The 20802-nt window shown below is 37.0% G+C and overlaps 1 protein-coding gene across 1 annotated transcript in view, besides 1 other annotated feature; it reads left to right on the top strand.

Moving 5' to 3' along the window:
* The window catches only part of TOX (thymocyte selection associated high mobility group box), a 313736-nt gene that overhangs the window by 6613 nt on the left and 286321 nt on the right, over positions 1–20802 (top strand). The window lies entirely within an intron of this gene.
* Positions 2620–3289: an enhancer, noted in NCBI's record as "OCT4-NANOG hESC enhancer chr8:60021805-60022474 (GRCh37/hg19 assembly coordinates)". NCBI's record gives its function as "activates a minimal SCP1, AML or CMV promoter by ChIP-STARR-seq in naive H9 embryonic stem cells {active_cell/tissue: H9 hESC(naive)}" and the evidence as "EXISTENCE:reporter gene assay evidence [ECO:0000049][PMID:30033119]".

Below are 20802 nucleotides of genomic sequence, written 5' to 3'. Positions count from 1 at the left end.
CCTGATTGATAACGAATTGTGTTAAATGGGCTGTCCACTAGGAAACTACAGTGCCAAGATGATACCGCTTACATATGCCCTAATGAATTTGAGAATTTTTTGTTTTAAACCTTGCATGCCAAGTTTCATCCCAAAGAGCAATTTCTGATTAAAAACAGTTGAGTTATAAACTGCTTAGAAATGTGGTTTATAATGGAAGTGCCAACAGACTGTTAATTATAGCAGTTCTTCCATAATACTTTGAGACATGGAATTCACATTAACCTGAATGAGCTTTTCCTGGTTATAACATGTTTCTCCCTACAGCATTCATTTTGAAAATGGGAACATTATATTACTCTGTGCTTCGATGTTGACGGTGCAGCAGAAAAGACGAGAAGGGAGGGTAATTCCAGAAACTCCTTGCTCTTTCCTGATGGGAGGTATCACTATTTCCCACACTTCTTTAGTTTGATCTATGGCAAGTTTGCCTCACTTGATAAAAATTTTAAAGTTAAATTTTAAAAGCTATTTTCAGATTTCCATGTTACTCATGAAAAAATCATCACTGATATATATTTATAATATCAAAGGTCATGAAACCAGGGTCACTATTAATGCTTTTTTCTGTTTGTTTGTTTTTTGCTTGGGAGATTTAAATGGTTCTGCTTTAGCCAAGTATTTATCGTTTTTCATTCCTGAATTATGTGCTTTTATGAAACTGTCTGGAAAGGACTCCTAATTAAAGGAGGCCATGGTTGGTTGATAAGAAGCTTTGCCAGTGGCCAAGAAAATAGAATGTATTTTGGGTGCCATGTGGTCTTACACGTTATTTGTCTGATCCACAGTAGTGATGATACTAGCTTTTGGCTAAAATGCCTTTTGATTGAAGTCTTTGATGCCACTTTGGGGTTGGGGTTACCGAGCTAGAAACATTGGTGTGTGTATGGGTATGTGCATGTGTATGGGTGTGTGGGGGTGGATTTGTGTGTGCATGTGTATTTGCATGTGTGTGTGTGTTTGTGTTTCTCATGGTTCTGGAATATTTCTGGCCATAAATGCATGAAGATTTATCCTAAATGGCAGACTTCCTCAATGTGTATAACAGCAGCAACAAAGGAAAAACATCATGACTACTGGGAATGCCTGGTTACCACTCCCTTTTAAGATACTCAGCAATATTTCACAGGAGAAGATGCTGTTGAGAATCTTAGGGCTTTAAACAGACATGTTATATCCTAATAAGACTAAAGAACCAGGTCTTTTTAAGGAAAACCATAGGCCTTTCTCAGGGAAAGACTCCATTATGTTGAATATTTGAGATAAAAACCAAGTGCCGTTAAGTCTATGTTGACTTACTCCCTAGGCAAAATAAACCTAACCATAAGAGGATGTGATTCCCTCCCACTCTGTTTCCCATTCTCTTGAGAAGCCTGACTTTGTTCTGTGTCTGGTAAAAGTTCTGACACTAAAACCTTTAATCCATCTGTGTTCCAGTCTTCCATATATCCAGTAGAGAAAATATATTTGTATCAAAGAAGACTTATGAGAATTAAGTAGGTAGATTATTTCAAATCTTGTGGTGAAAGATGTTCAAAAATTCAAAGAATTCAGCAAAATACTGCATTCTCAGCCCATTTCTTCCATTTCTGCTGCCCTAGTGGAATAAAAGTGTTTTGGAAAGTTGTAGACTAGTGGTTCTTTCAGGAAGAGAGTCAAAGAGATAACCTTTCCGGAGAGTCAAAGGTGAATTGGGAAAATGGGGTCTCTGTAGGTACAGTGTGTAATCTCCCTCCCTCAGATATTGATAGGCCCCCCGGGGGGCCTCTTTTTCCCTCTCCACATTAAGAGTCAGTGCACCTAAGGAGAGATGCTATTATGAGGGCTGTTGTCTGTTTTGCACTGTAAGAAGATAAAAGTGGAGAATAACTGTGAAAGAGGGAAATGCCCTCTTGTTCCTGACTTCAGAGAAGCAAGTTTACCTCTCTATACCTTCCTCTGATATATGGGTCAGAGATGTGAAATATAATGTGCAAGATTAATTAACGAATGGGCCAACTGGGCCTAAAGCACTGCCTGATTTCCTTAAGTCTGTTAACTCAATTAAATGGTTAATTTAAAAAATGATGGGTAAAGTGTTATACGCATTAGTGTTTTCATACCATTGAAAAACACCGATGCTTCCTTTCTATACCAATACACCTCAGCCTAAAATGCCAGTAACAATTGTATTAAGAGAAATGTTAATAATAAAGAGGCAGGATAACCTTTCAACAAAAAGTGTATTTTATCATTTGGCAGATGCAGTCATGAACATTAATCATAGAAACCTGCAGATAGTAGAAGCTTAATATCAAAGCTAATGATTTATTTTATGTTAATGACTTCCTGCCAGGGCATAAAAGACTGTTCATAATGGACTCTCAGAGCTATGTTCAGTTACTAAGGCTAATGGGATAATCTTTCCTCTCCCAAAATTAAGCTTTTTGAAATAAATTATGCTGTTATTTTTCAAGGTAACTCTCAAAAATTTACTGCAAAACTAATCTTTTAAGAACTACTTAAAGAAATGAAAAGAAAGAAAAATCCCAAAGCAGGTTTTCTAGTTCATGAACACTTTTACTTAATTAGGGAGAGAAAGTTTGCATGTATGCTAATATCCCTGAACTTGTAATGCTAAATAATTTTAAAGGCAGCCTTCTGTGACACAATCTGCCTTTTGAGATTCAGCTCCTGTAAGTACGTCCCACAAAATAGACCATGTTTTCGTCGGCGATTACCAGCCAATAATGAGCTGAATGGTAGTAAAACATTTGAATTTTTCACTGCGAAGTTTTAAAAATCATGTTTACAATTAGTTATAACCAACATTATATTTCAATAAGAGATAATTTGCCTAGTAAAGTTCACATAATGTGCTAATCATGTCTAGTGGTTAATAAAGGCCTCCTACCTCACTCCCCTGATGGCTATAAAAGGCTATTATATTCATGGCAGCAGTTCAGGTACAGCTGCTGTGTGTTAATAATGCATCATTGTCCCACTAATCAACATAGCAAAGGTCAGCACCCCTAAGCACCTAAACCACCTATTCTCTTTCCAAAATATTTATTAACACCTTAAAAACATATCTGTTCATTTTCCTTAGCCTCGAGTCAGTTAATTCCACTCCAAGCTACTTGTGTGATAAAGGTTTTGTAACCTAAGCTAGGTCGTAGAAGAGATTAATATATATTCATAGTAATCTTCTCCCATAAACATGTTTCCATTTCCACAGTCATTGACTGAATTAGTGTCGGGTTGTTATAGCCGTGAGCTCCTTTATAATTAAGTAGGTGTGTACCAAAATGAGAATATTTTCAGATTTTACATGTTATTTAAAGAGATGTTTAGAAGAAAAACAACTTTTCAATAACCAGAGACCCATTTAAAGCAAACAGAGCTAATCAGGAAATGGGAAGGGATATTTAAAATCTAAGAAATTAATCAGTGTTAGTTTGTAGACCTGATATGGTGGTGAGATATTATTTTCTTAATTGTTCTTTTGGCATAAGAAAGCAATAATAGTAAAAGCTTCTTAAGCCATATTTTCTGCACACAAAGAACATATTCACGTGGGATTTCCATTTTGCTGGAAAATTGTGCAAATCAATAAGCCAGCACTTATCTGCATTAAAATTAGGTAGACAACAATTTATAGGCATAGTGTTGGTGTAGTTCTCTTCATACCCTCAGTTTGTATTGAAGGTAATCCTTGCTTTTGTGTCCTCAGAGAGAAGCCAAAATGTTAAGTGAACAAGATCTCATTTTCTCATCTTGTATTATTGCCTTCTATTTTCTGTTACTCTTTTGATAACCTTGTGTGTGTATGTGTGTGTGTGTGTGTGTGTGTGTGTGTGTTTCCTTTATGATTTAGGAATCTTCAGTGTTTTAAGAGAAGAGAAAAAAATGAAACTCAACTATGTTTCCATCATCAAGAGAAATGCAAAAGGCGAATGAGTGGGAGGAGCTTCTATTTGTGCAGCACATAATGTACAATGGTACATTTGTCATGCTTTAAATATATAATGCCTACAATAAAATATGTACAGGCGCAGTTGTGAACTATGAAGTCCGTGGCTCCAGTGCCATTGTTTGTAGTCTCTACGGTTGTCATACATTGTTCTTTGCACATCATACCCTTACAGCAGAATTTGACACAATTTCTAGCTTTCAGCCCTGCACCATTTTCATTGCACAATATACGTGAATTTGACAGGGTGTGTTGAGGACAACTCTGGCAAGCAATTGATATTTTGAAGTGGCAAGCGTTTCAGCAGCTGCCTGCTTGTGAAAAAGGAATGATAAGATATACTGTATTGTTAGTTTCAGGGAAAGCATTAAGGTTTAAGCTCTGTAAAAGTGTACACATTATTCGTCAGTGGTGAAGCAAGTCTTTTATGTTTTTTAGAGCTTAGCTCTCTGGCTGATGTGAACTAGAATGACATTGGTCAGTAAATGAATAGGAGTACTTTGAATTTGAACTGCTGCCAATTTTGCACCAACAAAAGAACTGACAAAAGATTATGTGAGATGCAAAGCACACGCAATGTTTTGGGGGCGGGGAAAGGGAAGGAGAGAGCGAGAGAAACCCACATCAGAGAATATTCTTTAGCACATACTTGCAAGGATACCAAATAGTTAAACACATCTATTTTTCATGGCTCATCAGCTACAACCTAAGCTGTTTTATCTAATATGCTTTAAAAACCTGTTGTATACACATAGGCTTTCAGAATACGTTCATATGGAATTTAGAATGTTTTTCTAAATATCGCACTGTGCCCTAAAGGCCTGTTGGCAGAATATCAGAATATCAGAGTCACCCACTGCTGGAGTCCCCAACTCTCTCTCTATCTGGTAGTGGGAAATTGTAGTTTAATCAGTTATGGCACTTTCAGTGTGTAACATTCATTAGCAAGGCAATTTGTCATGACTGTTAATGGTCAGGATGCATCTGCTCTCTCAGTTACAGAGCATGATAAGTAAGAAGACAAATATTTCAACATCTGATAGTATTAACTTGTTTCAAATTTGTAATCCAAGGTTAGTTGCTTAAAACAGACACAGTACCAGATTAACAAGCATCCTGTATTCAATTTTACTGGGTCCTGTTTTTATGGATTTATGGCTTTAAAGCACACTAATATGCTATTATGAAGGGCACAGTCTTTGATTAGATGTTCAACAGAAACTAAGTTATGAGCAGAGTACCTTCTGGGTTCATCTGGAAAGAATTTATGTGCATAATATTTTCTACAGAGCTTCATAAATTGAAAGGTTTGATGCATGCAATATTTCTAACATGCTACATATTCTTTTCATGATTAAAAAAGTCACTTACCCACTGGTTTATAGATTGGTTGGTCACTTTTCAAGTGAGTTTAGAGCCTTGATCTATTTTAAAAGTTTAAAAATTCTACTGAAAAACTTCAGAATGAATTAGAAATGTCACGTTCCCCCCCCCCCCAGCAAACTGCTTTATAAGATCATTGTTCATTGTTCTCAATGGGGAAAAAAAGTTTAAAAGATTCACCCAGTTGAAAAGGTTAGGATTTTTTACATATCTTGTATTTTCTAGTTATGACATCACATAGCTTGCCATACAAAATCTTTTTGACACATTTTCATTTTTAATGAAAGGCCCTAAAATTCAGGGCATAATGATTTCTTAGAAACTGAACCCAATCTTGGTGAAAAATTCGTTCTTGCTAGTAACAAAAGCTGTTACTGTTTAAGTTCCTGTTGAGCGGTTAGTTGGTACGCTTCGCTGAATGTTGTCAAAAAGGCTTTCCTCATGATTGACAACCCGGCAGGAATGTGAATGGAGATTTTAATTGCGTATCATGTGTGCATATCAGAGTGAGTGAATTCATGACTCTGCTTAGCTCCATATCTCTGCAGGTCAGCCGTGCCAAAAAATGCTCTTTTATGTGCAATTTTTCCAAAAAGAGAAAGGTGTATGTGTACTGAAGTCATTTGTTATTCATTTCTTAAGTGAAACACTTGTGTTCCCTGAGCCTTGGAGTTTGAAAGTAGAACAAAAATCTATTTTGAGATTTCTTTCTTTTACTCTCTGTACTTATAATATACTTGGATGATGTAAATTCTTTTCAGTTACAAGTTGGGAAAAGTCTGCCAGAACATATTTTTCTTATGGCACTTGCTATACGAAGTGTGTTTATCTTTCTTTCTTTTTTTTTCCCCCCTAAAGAGTACTTAGAAAAGAAAGAAAAAATGTAAGCCAGTGGAAAAATTTACTGAGGTCAATTGCCTTTCTATAACTTGCAATCTTGAGAAAAGATCTGGCCTGGGGTGGGGGAGGGAAGGAAGGATATATTTCTGAGAGGTGGAAGGTTCATACAGTTGTTTCTGAATTTTGGAGAAAATAGCAAGAATATAATGCTTATTGTAAAATGACATTATTAAACATATGAATGTTCATTTCTTAGAAAAATGGCTCTTTGGTTGAAGATTCATTTCTGCTATCACTGCTTGGTCAAGATACAGTGGTGGTGATAAGCCATTTATCTTACTGAAATGCCTAAAACCCAATATGGTACATGTGAGATTTTAAAGTGGAGTGAAACTTACTTTGTAAGGTAACTTTGGCTACAATACCCCAGACTAATCAAGAACTTAATAATGTAAAAACAGGAAAAAAATAAAAACAATTATGCCATACATAAGCTTTCATTTTATGTAACAGGAAACTTTGGGATTTGGGCTGTAAATTTAGTGCATAATTACTTTTTAATGTCATTTTGAATAGGTGAGAAAAAGATTAGCACCAGGGTCATTTTAAATATAACTAGAGTAATAAGTAGGGTAATGTTGAAAGGATGGTGACTTTATGGACTTAGGATATCCCATAGGGACTTATAACTTTGTTCTAGGCTCTAATATATTATCTCAACTCATTTTAGAACATAACAAATTGCAGGCTGACGATCCAGCCTTCATATAGTATGCAGTACCGATGATCACTATATGAAGGCACTGCTGTACCTTTAAAATGCTAAAGAAGAAAAATCTATTTTATTTTAAAAATTCAGCTCTATGTGCGGGGTGACATTTTTCTAATGTTATGGAAGACTATTTTGTGCTTTATACTGAGAGCTTAGGCAAGGAAAAAATCTATTTACAAAATGAAAAAAAAGTGCTCAGCTGAATGCATTTCACTTTTAAAGATGATATTCTGGTAATGAACTTTATCAAGCAGAGAACATTTCAGTAAAAGTATTAAAGTAGTTCCTATTTCGGTTGCCTCACTTAAGGCTGTGTCACTGTTTCCATTATAACTTCTTATTTTCAGATAGCTCTAATGTGGTCCCTATACAAATATTTGCATAGGGATGAAATGAGAATATTTGAGCCTAAGAAGTCAACTTCTTAAAAAAAATTTGGAATGCGCTTGTTAAAAAGCTTTGGGGTTGTTAATAAGGGACACTTAATTCATTTTCAGAAATTGAAAAGCATTTTTTGAACACAGAGTGCAGAACTTTAAGTGTTAAGGGGGTCAGGGAGGGACACAGAGATGAATAAGTCGTGAACCCTCCCTCCATATGGCTAATAAGAGAGGAATACAGATAACTATCATGGAACCACAGTATAATTGATGTGATATGAAGTCTGTGGTCAAAGTGCTGGCAGTATAAAAGGAAAAGTTGAAGTTGGAGGAATCCCTGTTGCTTCCTGGAGGAGATGGCATTTCAATTGGCCTCAAAAATCCAGCAGTGAAGAAGGGGAAAGTTACTCCTAATTTTTTGAATTATTTTTTAGACTTCTCACCTTTTATAAAATGATCTATGATAACTCAAAATAAAAGCCACACATACAATAGGGCTATTTGAATTAACATAGAACGTTATCTCCCGGAAGTGGAGATGCAAGCATACTTCTTGACCTACATATTAAGCTATAATTCAACATTTAAATTGGCCTCTTGCTCTTCATCTGAGCAAAACTGGAAATACATGAGTGACAGAGTTCTGATTATCAGAGAGAGTATCAACACTAATTAGTCATGTGTAATAAGTTTTCCTCTAGTGAAAAGTTGCAAAAACTCGAGTGAAAGGCTGCAAAAGAGAGAAAACGAGGCAACGCATGGAGGGGCGACATCCTTGGCTCTCCGAGGGGGAGTCTACTGGGAGTTGCCTGGGGTTTCGGTAGTGGGAGATGGGGCATGGCAAACCGGGAGGGGCCTGCAGGAATAAGCAATAGGGAGAGCCAGGTACAGTTTAGGATTAAGGGGCGTGAAAAGATTAGAACTGTGTTTGAGGAAGATACTGCTGCCAATGTAGAGATAATGTGCTGGGGAAAGTTGGGGTGGAATTCAAATTGCTGTTGTCAGTGGGCTAATGTTCATTTCTAGTAACAATGTGCCAGAGAGGACTTCCCTGGGCGGACTCACATGTTGAAATGAATGACCAGCAATTGATCTATCTTTTGATGGCTTTTCAATGAAAGATAACCTTTTAGAGGTTTTATACTTTAGCCAAAAGTTGGAGTTATGTTAAAATCTAACTTCTTAAAGCACATATGAAGTTGTAGTCTACATGCAGATTAATTTTTTAATTGATAAGCCCAGACATTAGCATGAATATTAATGCTTTATGTGTAGTCTTAGAAGAACACCTGCTGAGTTAACTTCCAATCTGTTCTAATTGTGGAGTAATATTTACTCAAGTTATTAGTAATTGCTTTCCTGAAATAGCTTGCTTAGTGGTAAATACACATATTATTAGTAAATTTGGAGAGTATATTAAAGTGTCCAAACATATTCAGAAATCTCTGTTGGCGTTTTTGAAGGTATCTCATAATCTTCCAGTATCCACATAGCAAAGCTTTCCAACTTTTCCACTGGAGTGCCCTAATGAATGGGAGGGAATTTATATCTCAGGGGGCTAGACGAAGATCCCTGGAACTGCCTCTGCAATCTACATAGGTCTTAGAAGGCTAAGGTTTCATCTTTAAGCAATATGTGGATCTTATATTCTACAACACACTCATGTCTATTTTAATGTGAATATGATACTTTGAAGCACTTACAATTAAGTCAACTCTGTTCTAGGAAAATAGTCTTTGCTGTTCTATAGTTCTACTGCTTTGGGATATAGTTCTTTGCTCCTAGGAGACGCATGACACAACATAATACTCTTTTGTCCTTATTATTAAAAAATAGAGTTGAGGCCTTGAAAAACTTCCTTTTATTAGGTCATCTTTACCACAGAGAATGGAATGATTTGTTTCCCCTGATTCTTTCCCTGACTTTCACTAATTCTCTACTTTTGATAAGAAAGCTTGACAAAGTATTTTATCTTAGTCTAAACTGGATGACTTCAGTTAGGGTTCAATAGTTGCTGGTGCCCCAGGCCGACCTACGTTATGCTTTGTAGGGAGAAAATGGAAAAGAGGGAGGAAGTCAAATATCCTATGTGTAGGTGGAAGAGAAAAATCCCTCTGTTATTTGCAGAAACTGATGATGTTTAGTGATGGCAGGAGATAGTCAAGTGTGGTATTATATTGTTAGGCATTAATAGAAAACCTAACATGAAGCGAATTTGGAAAATTCAAGAAAAGGATCAGCAAGAAATTGAACAACTATGATGATAGTTTGGGGGTGAAGTGGGGGCAGGTATAGGGCTGAGAGAGGCCTGTAACATAATAAATGGCATGAGGCATGGATTCCTTTCTCCCATACTTCCTTCTTTCCTCCCTTCTTCTCTTCCTTCCACCACAGGCAGACATAATTTGTAAGATGATTGATACTATTTTCAAGATTCTTCTGAATTACTTTCTTAGATGCTGATATGGTTTGGCTCTGTGTCCCCACCCAAATCTCATCTTGTAGCTCCCATAATTCCCTTGTCTTGTGGGAGAGACCTGGTGGGAGATGATTGAATCATGGGGGTGGGTCTTTGCTGTGCTGTTCTTGTGATAGTGAACGGGTCTCACGAGTTCTGATGGTTTTAAAAACGGGAGTTTCGACTGGGCACAATGGCTCACACCTGTAATCCTGGTATTTTTGGGAGGCCGAGGAAGGTGGATCACCTGAGGTCAGGAGCTTGAGATCAGCCTGGCCAACATGGTGAAACTTCATCTCTACTAAAAACACAAAAATCAGCCAGGTGTGGTGGCATGTGCCTGTAATCCCAGCTACTCGGGAGGCTGAGGTGTGAGAATTGCTTGAACCCAGGAGGTAGAGGTTGCAGTGAGTGGAGATAGCCCCACTGTACTGCAGGCTGGGGGACAAAGCAAGACTCCATCTGAAAACAAACAAACAAACACAAAACGGGAGTTTTTCTGTACAAGCTCTCTTTTGTTACCTGCCGCCATCCACATAAGATGTGACTTGCTCCTCCTTGCTTTCTGCCATGATTATGAGACCTCCCCAGCCACATGGAACTGTAAGTCCAATAAACCTCTTTCTTTTGCAAATTTGCTCAGTCTTGGGTGTGTCTTTATCAGCAGCATGAAAACAAACTGATATGGATGCCCTTTCACTACCACTCTCCCACCTGCATCCTCACCTGCCCACAGTGGGCTTCTGTTTCTGGGCAGCCAGGCTCTCCCATCTTCCCCATTATTGTTAGGGGACACCCAGTAGCTTTGGTTTGGCAGGGTGGCATGCATAGATTTTAGGTGTGTGCATAGAAGACTTCTCAACAAATGTCAAACTACACGATGTCCATAGAACACCATAAAAATAAAAGGTTTTGTTTGTTTGTTTTTTGGATTTTTCCCCCTTTTCCTCATTTTAGCCTTAATCTGGTTTTGGAAGTTTTTGTTAAATGGACATGTGTAAATAATGGATATTTGCTCTTATTGACAAGAATATGTTTTTCCTTCTAAAAACTCAGTTTAGGCATATAAAAATAAGCGTTTTAGATTTTGCCTTTGTCCAAATCAAGGTAATTTCCTCATATTTAACACATTTTGAAGTTTCATCTGCAACAGCAGTCTAGGAGAATGAATACTATGTGTCTGCAGTTTATGTACATTTATTCTCAAGGTCTCATTAAAATAAAATGAAAAATTAATGACTAAGAGATGTAGATTCCTTATACCTGATCCCATATCCCAATTTTATAGGGGTTTTAGAACATTTGCCATAGGGTTGGTACAGAGAAGGCTTCCAGGAGCATGACATTTGTGATATTGGTTAATTTATTCATTAAATATTTTCCGAATGGTTATTTTGTGCCAGGAACTGTGCTAAAATGGTGAGGATAGAAAAAGAAAAAAAATCTGTGTACTTACAGAGGTAATAATCTTAGATGTGATACACATAACCCTATTAACAGAAGATGAGTCAGCTGAGAATTAAATGGACAACTTTAATATTTGACCTAAATACTATTACTATTGAGCTCTGAATACCCCTGCATTCACTTGTGCATTTACCCTCTCTGCGCTTTTCCTTTCCTTTCCTTTAGTCTAGATGAGATGACCGAGAGTAGAACCAGCATTCCTTGCCCTGTCTCAAGTCTTGCTGTGACAGCAACTGATAGCATGTGGGATGCAGTAACTTGGTAACTTAAGCCAATAGTGATTGTTTATGAAGTAGCTAAAGGAATGAATTTTTAAAAATTGAAATTCTAATCGTGCAAATATTTAAATCTTTGGAAATTTGAACTAGGTATCATTCAAAAATAAAAAATGGGAGTTCATGCTCAACTCTTTTTTTTAATGCCTTAATGGGCTGAAATCACTTGTTTAACATTACTCAATACTATTTTTATGTATGAAGTGTTCATAAGCTCAGGATATTTTTAGAATAGTCAAATAATCCGTGTTCATTTTGTTCCGATTCATCATAATGGGTTTCAAAAGGTAAACATCGTTGTGCATTTTAAAATTGCTTTTCTGACAAATTCTACTTATTCTGTGAGAGTCATTGCAGAAATTGCTTACAAAATAATTCCGTGAATCTCATATTTTCTTACCATCTCATTTCTTCCCCTAATATGGTATGGAACCAGACTGCAATTATACTTTCACAATTACTTTATTATATGGGCTGAAATATACTCCTGAAGCTCTTATTACCTTTTCCATACACCATTTACACAGACCTGCTGATGGCTGTCAGCGGTGCTTCCTTGGGACAATCAGCCATTCTTAGCAGGTTGTGTTTAAATTCAGAACACCACAAATAGAAAGCACCTCTCTCTCCTTGCTGATGAATTTTTAATGTTCCAGCATTTATAATAATTCAAAGGACTTCATTATAACAGCTTGCAGAATTAGGCCATGTGTTTTAGAATGTTGGATATTTACTTGTGATCTTTGTCAAAGAGAAAAAAATGAAAACAACACATTATTAATAGTGTGTTTGTGTCTGTAGCAACCTGAGAATTATGATGTTACCCAGTGTAGAGCTCCTTTTCCCTGAAAGAGGTTGATTAAGATTTTCTACTTCAAATAATTCACTCAGAAGCTCTTCTTTTCTCCGTAATTGCATTTTATGGGAAAAAAAAAAAGATGCAATTCTACTCCATGTCTTTAAATGGAAACTGGAATGCCTTATATTCAAATATTGAGTACATTTACATTTAATGACAAAATCAGGAACCTTTCTTTTACATTACAAAGTGAAATATTCTTTTAAAATAGCCAGTTCTTAGGGTCTTTGAGAGTCGTCCAAAAAGAGATTTGGTTGACTTTGAGAGCCATATGGTACAGTCAGTCTCTTTAATGTATTTTTTCTTTATCATTTCATTTCACTCCCAAACTGTAATTACATTACAACAACTTACATATTTGGCCATCTCTTATAAACTAATGACATTTGAAATATAAATAATAGGACATAGTTAAAATATAATCACCTTATGTGTTTCCTGCTGTCAAATGCCAACATGGAGTGATTGCTTCTCCTTTGAAATATTAGAGAGATTTGAGCCAAGTGCTAATACCCAATGGGTACTGTACTCCTACAAGTCTATAATGTCAAATGTTCAGAAATTTCCAGATAATTGATTGCATACCTCAGGTTTTTTTCACAGTGCTTAAATGTATCAGTATACTTTTTTAAACAACGTAATTATTCATTTATTTGGTATTAAGCCATTTAGTGTCTGTCTTTCAGGTAATTCCTTTTACACTGCTGATGATTAGTGATAGCAATGAAATCAATTCATGAAATGGTCCTGTTTGTAGCTTGGTATGGTAGAAAGAAGATGGAGATGGAATATCAGGCCCTGGATGTTAATTACAGAACTAACCAAATGATGTGGGGCAAGTTACTTAATTCTCATCTTTCTCTTCTCTAAAAAGAGGGGCTTGATCACCTCTAAGATTTTTTCCAGCCCAAGAAGTCAGAGAAATCCATTGGCTTGTTAAATAGTAAACTCCACAATATCAAGAGGTTCTGAGATTAAAAGCAAGCGGAGTGTCATCTCTATTACAGACACCAAGTTTAAAAATCTAATGCTGTTGTCTTTTAAGGCACCATGGCATTCATCATAACAACTAAAAAGTACAGCAAGGTAGGTTTCCAAAGAGTGAAATTTAATCGAGAGTAGACATTGAACATGATTGCAGCTAGTTCCATCATAACATGTTGGCAGAAAACTTCACTCTTTTTAATTCACATCGGAACCATTTTTGGCTAAAGGGCAACTGGAGCATATTAAAGTAGCAAAGGATAAAGCATTTCTCCAATGTTTCCCTGTACTCATAGGGCAAGTCATGGATCATAAATTAGAAAAAGAATTTGGGAATCAGAAGTCAAGGAGGATGCTACAGGAGGACAGGTCTCAGAGAGCTGGGAAGAATCCAGGGATTTAGCAAGGCCTGAAGGAGCAAGCCAAACAGCTGTATCCAGGCATCTTGATTAAAACAGTTTCCTGTCCTGTTCACAGATTTATCATCATTATTAGGATTCTTTCACAGCTGTAACAAATCCTAGCCTTTCTGATTCAGGCAACTTGAAAGGCCCTATTTTAAGTGGAGAGTGTGCAGGCTTTCAAAAATGGACCTGCCTTCTGTCAGCCGGCTCCATCTTTCACACATATAATACCAGCAGGATTCAAGGAAGCAGAGTTCCTGACTTCCAGAAGGTTTTGGTTTGGAAAAAAAAAAAAAAGAAGTTTATTCTTGAAAACCAAAAAATGCAGAGAGAATAGCATGAAAGACAAAATATATTCTTAGTGCTAGATTGTCAGTCGTTCTTAACCTTTTTGGTTCACACATAGAAGTGAATATTCTAGAATTTCTGACACTGTACTTAAAAGGAATTCATAGGTCAATGCTTTAAAAACAAAGTTTCAGAAAACTGAAAAAGGAATCCTCCACAGCTCTCTTACTGTTCTGGCGTTCACTCTCTGTGCTGTTGAACCTGGCTGCTGGCGCTCCGGCAGGTACCTGTGAGGCCACCTTTTTGGCTGTTCCTGTAGGTGCCCTTTTTCTTTGACTTCAGCTCATTGTCACTCTTGGATTTTTTTTTTTAACATGAGTTGCAACAAGATCATATTTGTGCTGGTTACTCCAAATGATGGATTTCCCTCCGTGATTCCCCCAGCCAATAGCGCCGTAAGTAATTTATCTCAGTTAAAGCAAAGATAAATGTTATGCTTTGATCAAAATTTAGGGGCCCACCATGAAAAATTGAAAAACAAAAATATGCTTTGACACACTAGTTGACAACCACTTGTTAAAGTAGTACCAGAGATAATCTTTATGCTTACAGGATGCATGAAAACAAAATATTAAAACTGTATGTTCATAAAACATAATGTTTACATATCATAAAACTCTAAAATTATCTTTAATTCCTCAAGAAACCATGGAGACTTTCTATACCATCCTGTACAACTATCAGTCAAGGCCATAGCAGAAATCACTTGAGTGTTAACTGTTGAGTTATTTGAGTTATACAGATGGATTTTTCCACTAACTCTGGTGTAGAATGTGCCACAGATGAGAAAGGATCCTAGGTACGAAGGAAATAGAGGCATCATGGGAAACTTTACGTGAGTTTTATTTCTTTTCTGTACCACAGTTTTCCCATCTGCAAAATGAAATTAACGGCAGTATTTTATTGGTAGAATTTATAATGAGGATTAAATGATAAAAATTGTGTAAAGCACCACCTAGACTTCCTGGATGAGAAGTGTTCAGAAACATTAGTTGCTGTTGTTGCTGCTGAAAACCTCACTCCGGTGGCGTAGACCCTGCCGGAGGAGCTCACACTGTCTATAAACTCCAACACTTCTGAAACTCATTAACTTGTGTTCCTTGGGGTTTCTCAGACAGGTATGGAAGTTGGTGGCATTGTTTGTAAGCTCACACCAGCGCAGACACAAACTTGTTAAGGTTATCATCTTGGAACTGTGGTCAGAACCTTCCCGGGGATGGTGTCACTTCAGGGATATCTGACCTGAAGGTGCTAGCAGACTTCCTGATCACGTGTTCCCCCACATCGGGCTGTGAGTACCTCCAGTCACCAATGAGTCCCAAAACAAAAGCCAGAGCATTGTTTATAGTTGGCTCCAGTAAAATATGCATCTCACCTGGGATTGCCCTCTATCCTGTTTCCAGCAATGCACTTAGATGAATTCATCACATTAATAAACTGACACCCTAGGCCCCAAGAGATGCCAGATGAAGAAGTCTCTACCCAAGATGCCTGTAGATTTGTGTGTGTAGGTCACACCATTTGGTTACAGAATCGGAAAGAACAGGAGATTTTTTTCACAGAAAGAGATGATGGGAGGACGCCAGCAACACTCATCACCTGGTTCTTAGCTATGCTTCCCCCACACTTGCTCCTGGAGGTGTTCACAAATCTGGAGGAATCATAGGCGAGTCTCTCCTCCTATGAAACTCTGTGCCTCTAGTGATCTTTTTCATTTTCTCTAAAATTACCAGAAATAGTATTATGATCATTATCTGTTAAGCAGGAGTCAAATTACCTTTGTTGTGGATTTCTGGGTTGAGTTTTAGTCTTTTAACTAAATTATAGACCATAATTTTTGTATGTGTCACCAAATTTTAAGAATTGTTTCTAAAATTCTACAGGGCAATCTGGATTTTATTGAATACAGTTTCATTAACATGTATCCCATAAAAGGGGAGAGGAATTCATTTCCAATTTGGAGGTATGCACTGTCTGTATTGGTTACCATTGTTAGCACTGGTTTGAGGTTAGTAAAAGATAAATTGCCACAGTGCAAAGAAGTTAAGATGGGTTACTGATTCTCTGCATAATAAGGATTCAGCAAAAGCTCCTCAAATGGCCACTAATACTATTAGGAGTGTTAATGGGTGTTGGAAAATTAAACTAATTAAAGTCATTTTTGAAGCAATGTTAGTCTGTTTCATCAGGTGATAATAAAAGTGTAAAAGAGACATTATCATTTCCATTTATACTTTTAGTAGTAATTTGATAAGAAGCAATTATCCTTTAATTGGTATTACCTCTTGTAGTTTTCAGGGCATTTGTAAATATATTTGAAATGAATAACAACACTGTTGGGGAGAGGTGGGGAGTTGGACATTTGGATTTCCATTTCACGGCTAAGGAAACTGAGGTTCAGAAAGTTTAAGTAAATTATTTAAAAGTGTGTGATCAGTAAATGACAGAATGGGGATGTGTTAAATGAATGACTGATTCAAATACCTCTCTACACATCTATTCTACAACACATCAGTTCTGCTGAATTCCGGAAACCACTGGAGTGCTAGCATGCCTACCTAAACACTTAAATCATTGGCTAGGTGAAAACTGCCACAGAAATGCAAACCTGTTTCACCTTATTTTTAAAGAAATGTGCAGGAATCTGCATCTTTTTAAAATTATTTTTAATATTGTCTGGGCGCAGTGGCTCACGCCTGTAATCCCAGCACTTTGGGAGGCTGAGGCAGGTGGATCACTTGATGTCAGGAGTTCAAGACCAGCCTGGCCAACATGGTGAAAGCCCATCTCTACAAAAAAATTAGCCGGGCATGGTGGTGCACGCCTGTAATCCCAGCTACTTGGGAGGCTGAGACAGGAGAATTGCTTGAACCCAGGAGGCAGAGGCTGCAGTGAGCCGAGATCATGCCATTGCACTCCAGCCTGGGCGACAGAGCGAGACTTCATCTCAAAAAAAAGATTATTTTTAATATTCATCTTTCAGGATATTCTTGAGAAAATGAATGCACATAAGGTCAATGTTGACAAGAAAGCTTCCTGAGATGAATGTTAGAAGTCCTAGTCGTAAATTGTTTTAATGTGTTGGAATATAGGCAGAATGTATCTCTGAAATTCCTATGGAAAAAAAAAACAACTCTTTTAGAGCGAATATTACCTTTATGTATATAGTTGCAAGGTCAAGTTAGATCCTAAAACAAGTGACCTCAATTACATAATTCAACAAAATTAACAAAATCATGAATGATACGAATATGATCACAGTCCTTGTCCCTTATGCTTAGAACATAATAGGGTTTATAAGACATCTGTAAATGATGATATAAGACAGTGAAGTGCTGTAAAAGAAATGCAAATGACAGTGAACTTTGAATAACAGCATCCAATACTATTCTTCGTTTTTATATCATTATTTTTGGATCCAGTGTAGCAATGGCTTTCTGTGCCACTACCAAATGTAGTGACATCAGTAAGACCAAAAGGCTATTTGAGTGTCCTCTCTTTAGAAACCAGGATAAAAGGTGACTAAAATATGTGTTTCTCTTAGGGTTGCATATGGAAATGTAAACCTCCTTGGGGGCTTAGATAACTTTAAGGAACACTACTCATTCTTCAGAAATGTCAAACCCATTAACAGTGCGGTCTGCGGGTTTGCTTCCAAACTCTGGGCTGCTTCAGAGGTCCTTCTGCACTGTGTCTCAGGACAATTACTGCTTTACATTTTAAAAATATTTGAATTACGAAGTCTTTCAAACCCAATTATTATCATTACTTATAATTATTATATAATAATTAAATATAATAATGAAAACCCCAAGTATTATTCTAAATCTTTCAAAAACAGTAATTATGTAATACCTATATGCGTGTGCCACTACACCTGGCTAGTTTTTGTATTTTTAGTGGAGACAGGGTTTCACTACGTTGGCCAGGCTGGTCTCAAACTCCTGACCTCAGGTAATCTGCCTGGCTTGGCCTCCCAGAGTGCTGGGACTACAGATGTGAGCCACTGTGCCAGTCCCACTATATGCTAATTTAATATTGTAGTTATGTAATACTCATACTAATTTTTACATTTATTATGTTTTCACTCATACAGAAATAAAATAAAAAGTCAAAACATTCCTACTTTCTCCTCTAGTTCCACTTCTAGTAATAACATCCACCAATAGTTTAGTGTGTATCTTTCCATTTTTTTACTATTTTTATTTAAGCATAAATATTTATCTTATTAAAGATACTGATACTTAATATATAATGAATATTACAAAATCTGTAAAACATGTAATTTTTAACCAAATTAGAATCATGGTCTGTCATATTCTTTTTATTTTGTTTATTATAATTTTCAGTAAATAATAATTGAAAGTCCTTAGTTTGCTGGCTTACATTAATACAGCCATCACTCTTGATATTTCGATGTTGTAGGCAAATACTTGTCTTGTTTAGTGTGACAAGCTGGCAGGTAAATGCAAATGATGTGACATTTTCTGCAGGAAATTGTTATTGTCATTTACCAACATGCCAGTAAAAGTTGATCAAGTCTGTAATTGAATCCTCCTGGATCATTTTTTAAAGGTTGGATTATTAGGGGAAAACATTAGGATTTATAGCTCAACAATCAAGTTATCAAATAACTCTACTATTTAACTGAGGCCATATATGTAGAAGCAAGAATGTATTTTCAAGCAAACAGCTTCTAGGTGCAGGAGAACCCACACAGAAAAACTTATACTTTGCAGGAGAAAGAAAGGACTTCAGGTACATTTTCTACACAGGTATTCCCCCATTATAAACTTGTAACAATAGCTGTAAATATTTAATTATTTTACCAGGCTTAAGGGAAATATTTGTTGAAGAAACAACATTCATAAGACTTGGTTCAAAAGCTTTTCTAGTACTTAGCAGTTAGGCCATGTCAGATAAAACACATAACAAAGTACATTAATAATCATTCAGTGGATGTTAACTGAGCACCTACCACCACCTGTGCTTGGCTCTACTGGGAATTAAAATAAGAACAAGACACAGTTTGCTTGAGGACTTCACAGTTCTGTAGATGCATTCACTGTTATTTGTCAGTGGTACTTATGAAAGTGGATGCTGTTATGGAGAGATGAAACTTGGGCATAACAAAGAACTCACAACCAGTAAGTGATGAAGCTGGAACTGGAAGCAGGATCTCACCTCAGAGCCTACTATAGGAAGAACAGAAAGGATTAAAAAGGCGTGAGCTGCAGAAGTTCTACCATGACCCCATCCTGTGTCCCTGAAGAAAGTGCTCATACATCTTGTGACGTTTTCTTGCTGAGTTCAGATATAGCCTCATATTCCACTTCCCGACAATACTCACTTACTTGTTGGTGTTGGGATCCCCCTTGCCACCTGTTTGCCAGTCCTGTCCAATGCTCTTTCCACTATGCCTCACTGCTTCTAAAGAAAACAATAGTTTATGTCAGAGTGGTGAATATTTACTGGGCACTTACTCTGTTCTAGGCACGGGGAGGTAAAGGTGGTTAGGATATAGACACTGTCTAGAAAGAGAGACGCACAAATAGGTCATTATAATATATCATGGAAGATGCTAAGATGGAACAACACACAGCACAAAAAGAGGCTGTAACCTGGCCTGGATCTCAAAGAAAACTTCCTGGAAGAGAGGATGATGGAAAGAGAAGAAACAGTAAGAATTAACCAGGACAAAGGTGGGAAGTGTTTCCCAGCTGAAGAGACCAGCACAGGATGAGAGTGAAGGGTGGGGCTAGACTCCTTCCTCTTGAGTTACGTTAAAGAGCTTGGCATTTGTTTGCTGATGCTTGTGAGAAGCCATTTAAAGATTTTATTAAAGAAGTGAGATATCAGATGTAGATTTTAGAGAGATTACTCTGGCTTCCGTACAGTGAATGCATTTATGAGGACAGGATGGAAACCAGGAATACCAATTAGGAATCTATCAGACTGATAATTTTCCAACTTTTTTTATACCAGCAAGAGCTTTTTATTTTTTATTATATATATATAATATATATAATGTATATATAATATATAATATATATATGTATATATAATATATAATATATATAATGTATATATAATATATATATATATATAAAATATATATATATGAGATGGAGTCTTGCTCTTTCGCCCAGGCTGGAGTGCAGTGGCGCGATCTCGACTCACTGCAACCTCTACCTCCTGGGTTCAAGTGATTCTCCTGCCTCTGCCTCCCGAGTAGCTGGGATTACAGGTGCCCACCACCATTCCCAGCTAATTTTTTTGTATTTTTAGTAGAGACAGGACTTCACCATGTTGGTCAGGCTGGTCTGGAACTCCTGACCTCAGGCAATCCACATGCCCCAGCCTCCCAAAGTGCTGGGATTACAGGCGTGAGCCACCACGCCCGGCCACAAGAGCTTTTTATTAAAAACAAATCTTACACTGAAATTTAATAAATACGGGAGATGGAAAAAGAGGATTCCTAAAGCTTCTTAGAAGAAGTTTGAAAACCATTGATCTAGATGAAGGTGACTGGAGAATGGAGTGGCAGCACTGACCTAGCATGGTGAAATCAGTGGAAAGATTTGGGATGTAGGTAGAAAGGAAAATCAGATGTAGATGCTTGGTTGGATGCCAGTCACTGA

The sequence above is a fragment of the Homo sapiens genome, chromosome 8 (assembly GCF_000001405.40).
Source record: "Homo sapiens chromosome 8, GRCh38.p14 Primary Assembly".
In the NCBI taxonomy this organism is placed as follows: Eukaryota; Metazoa; Chordata; class Mammalia; order Primates; family Hominidae; genus Homo; species Homo sapiens.
Note: the sequence above shows the minus strand (reverse complement) of the source record. Positions and strands in the feature narration are given on the sequence as shown.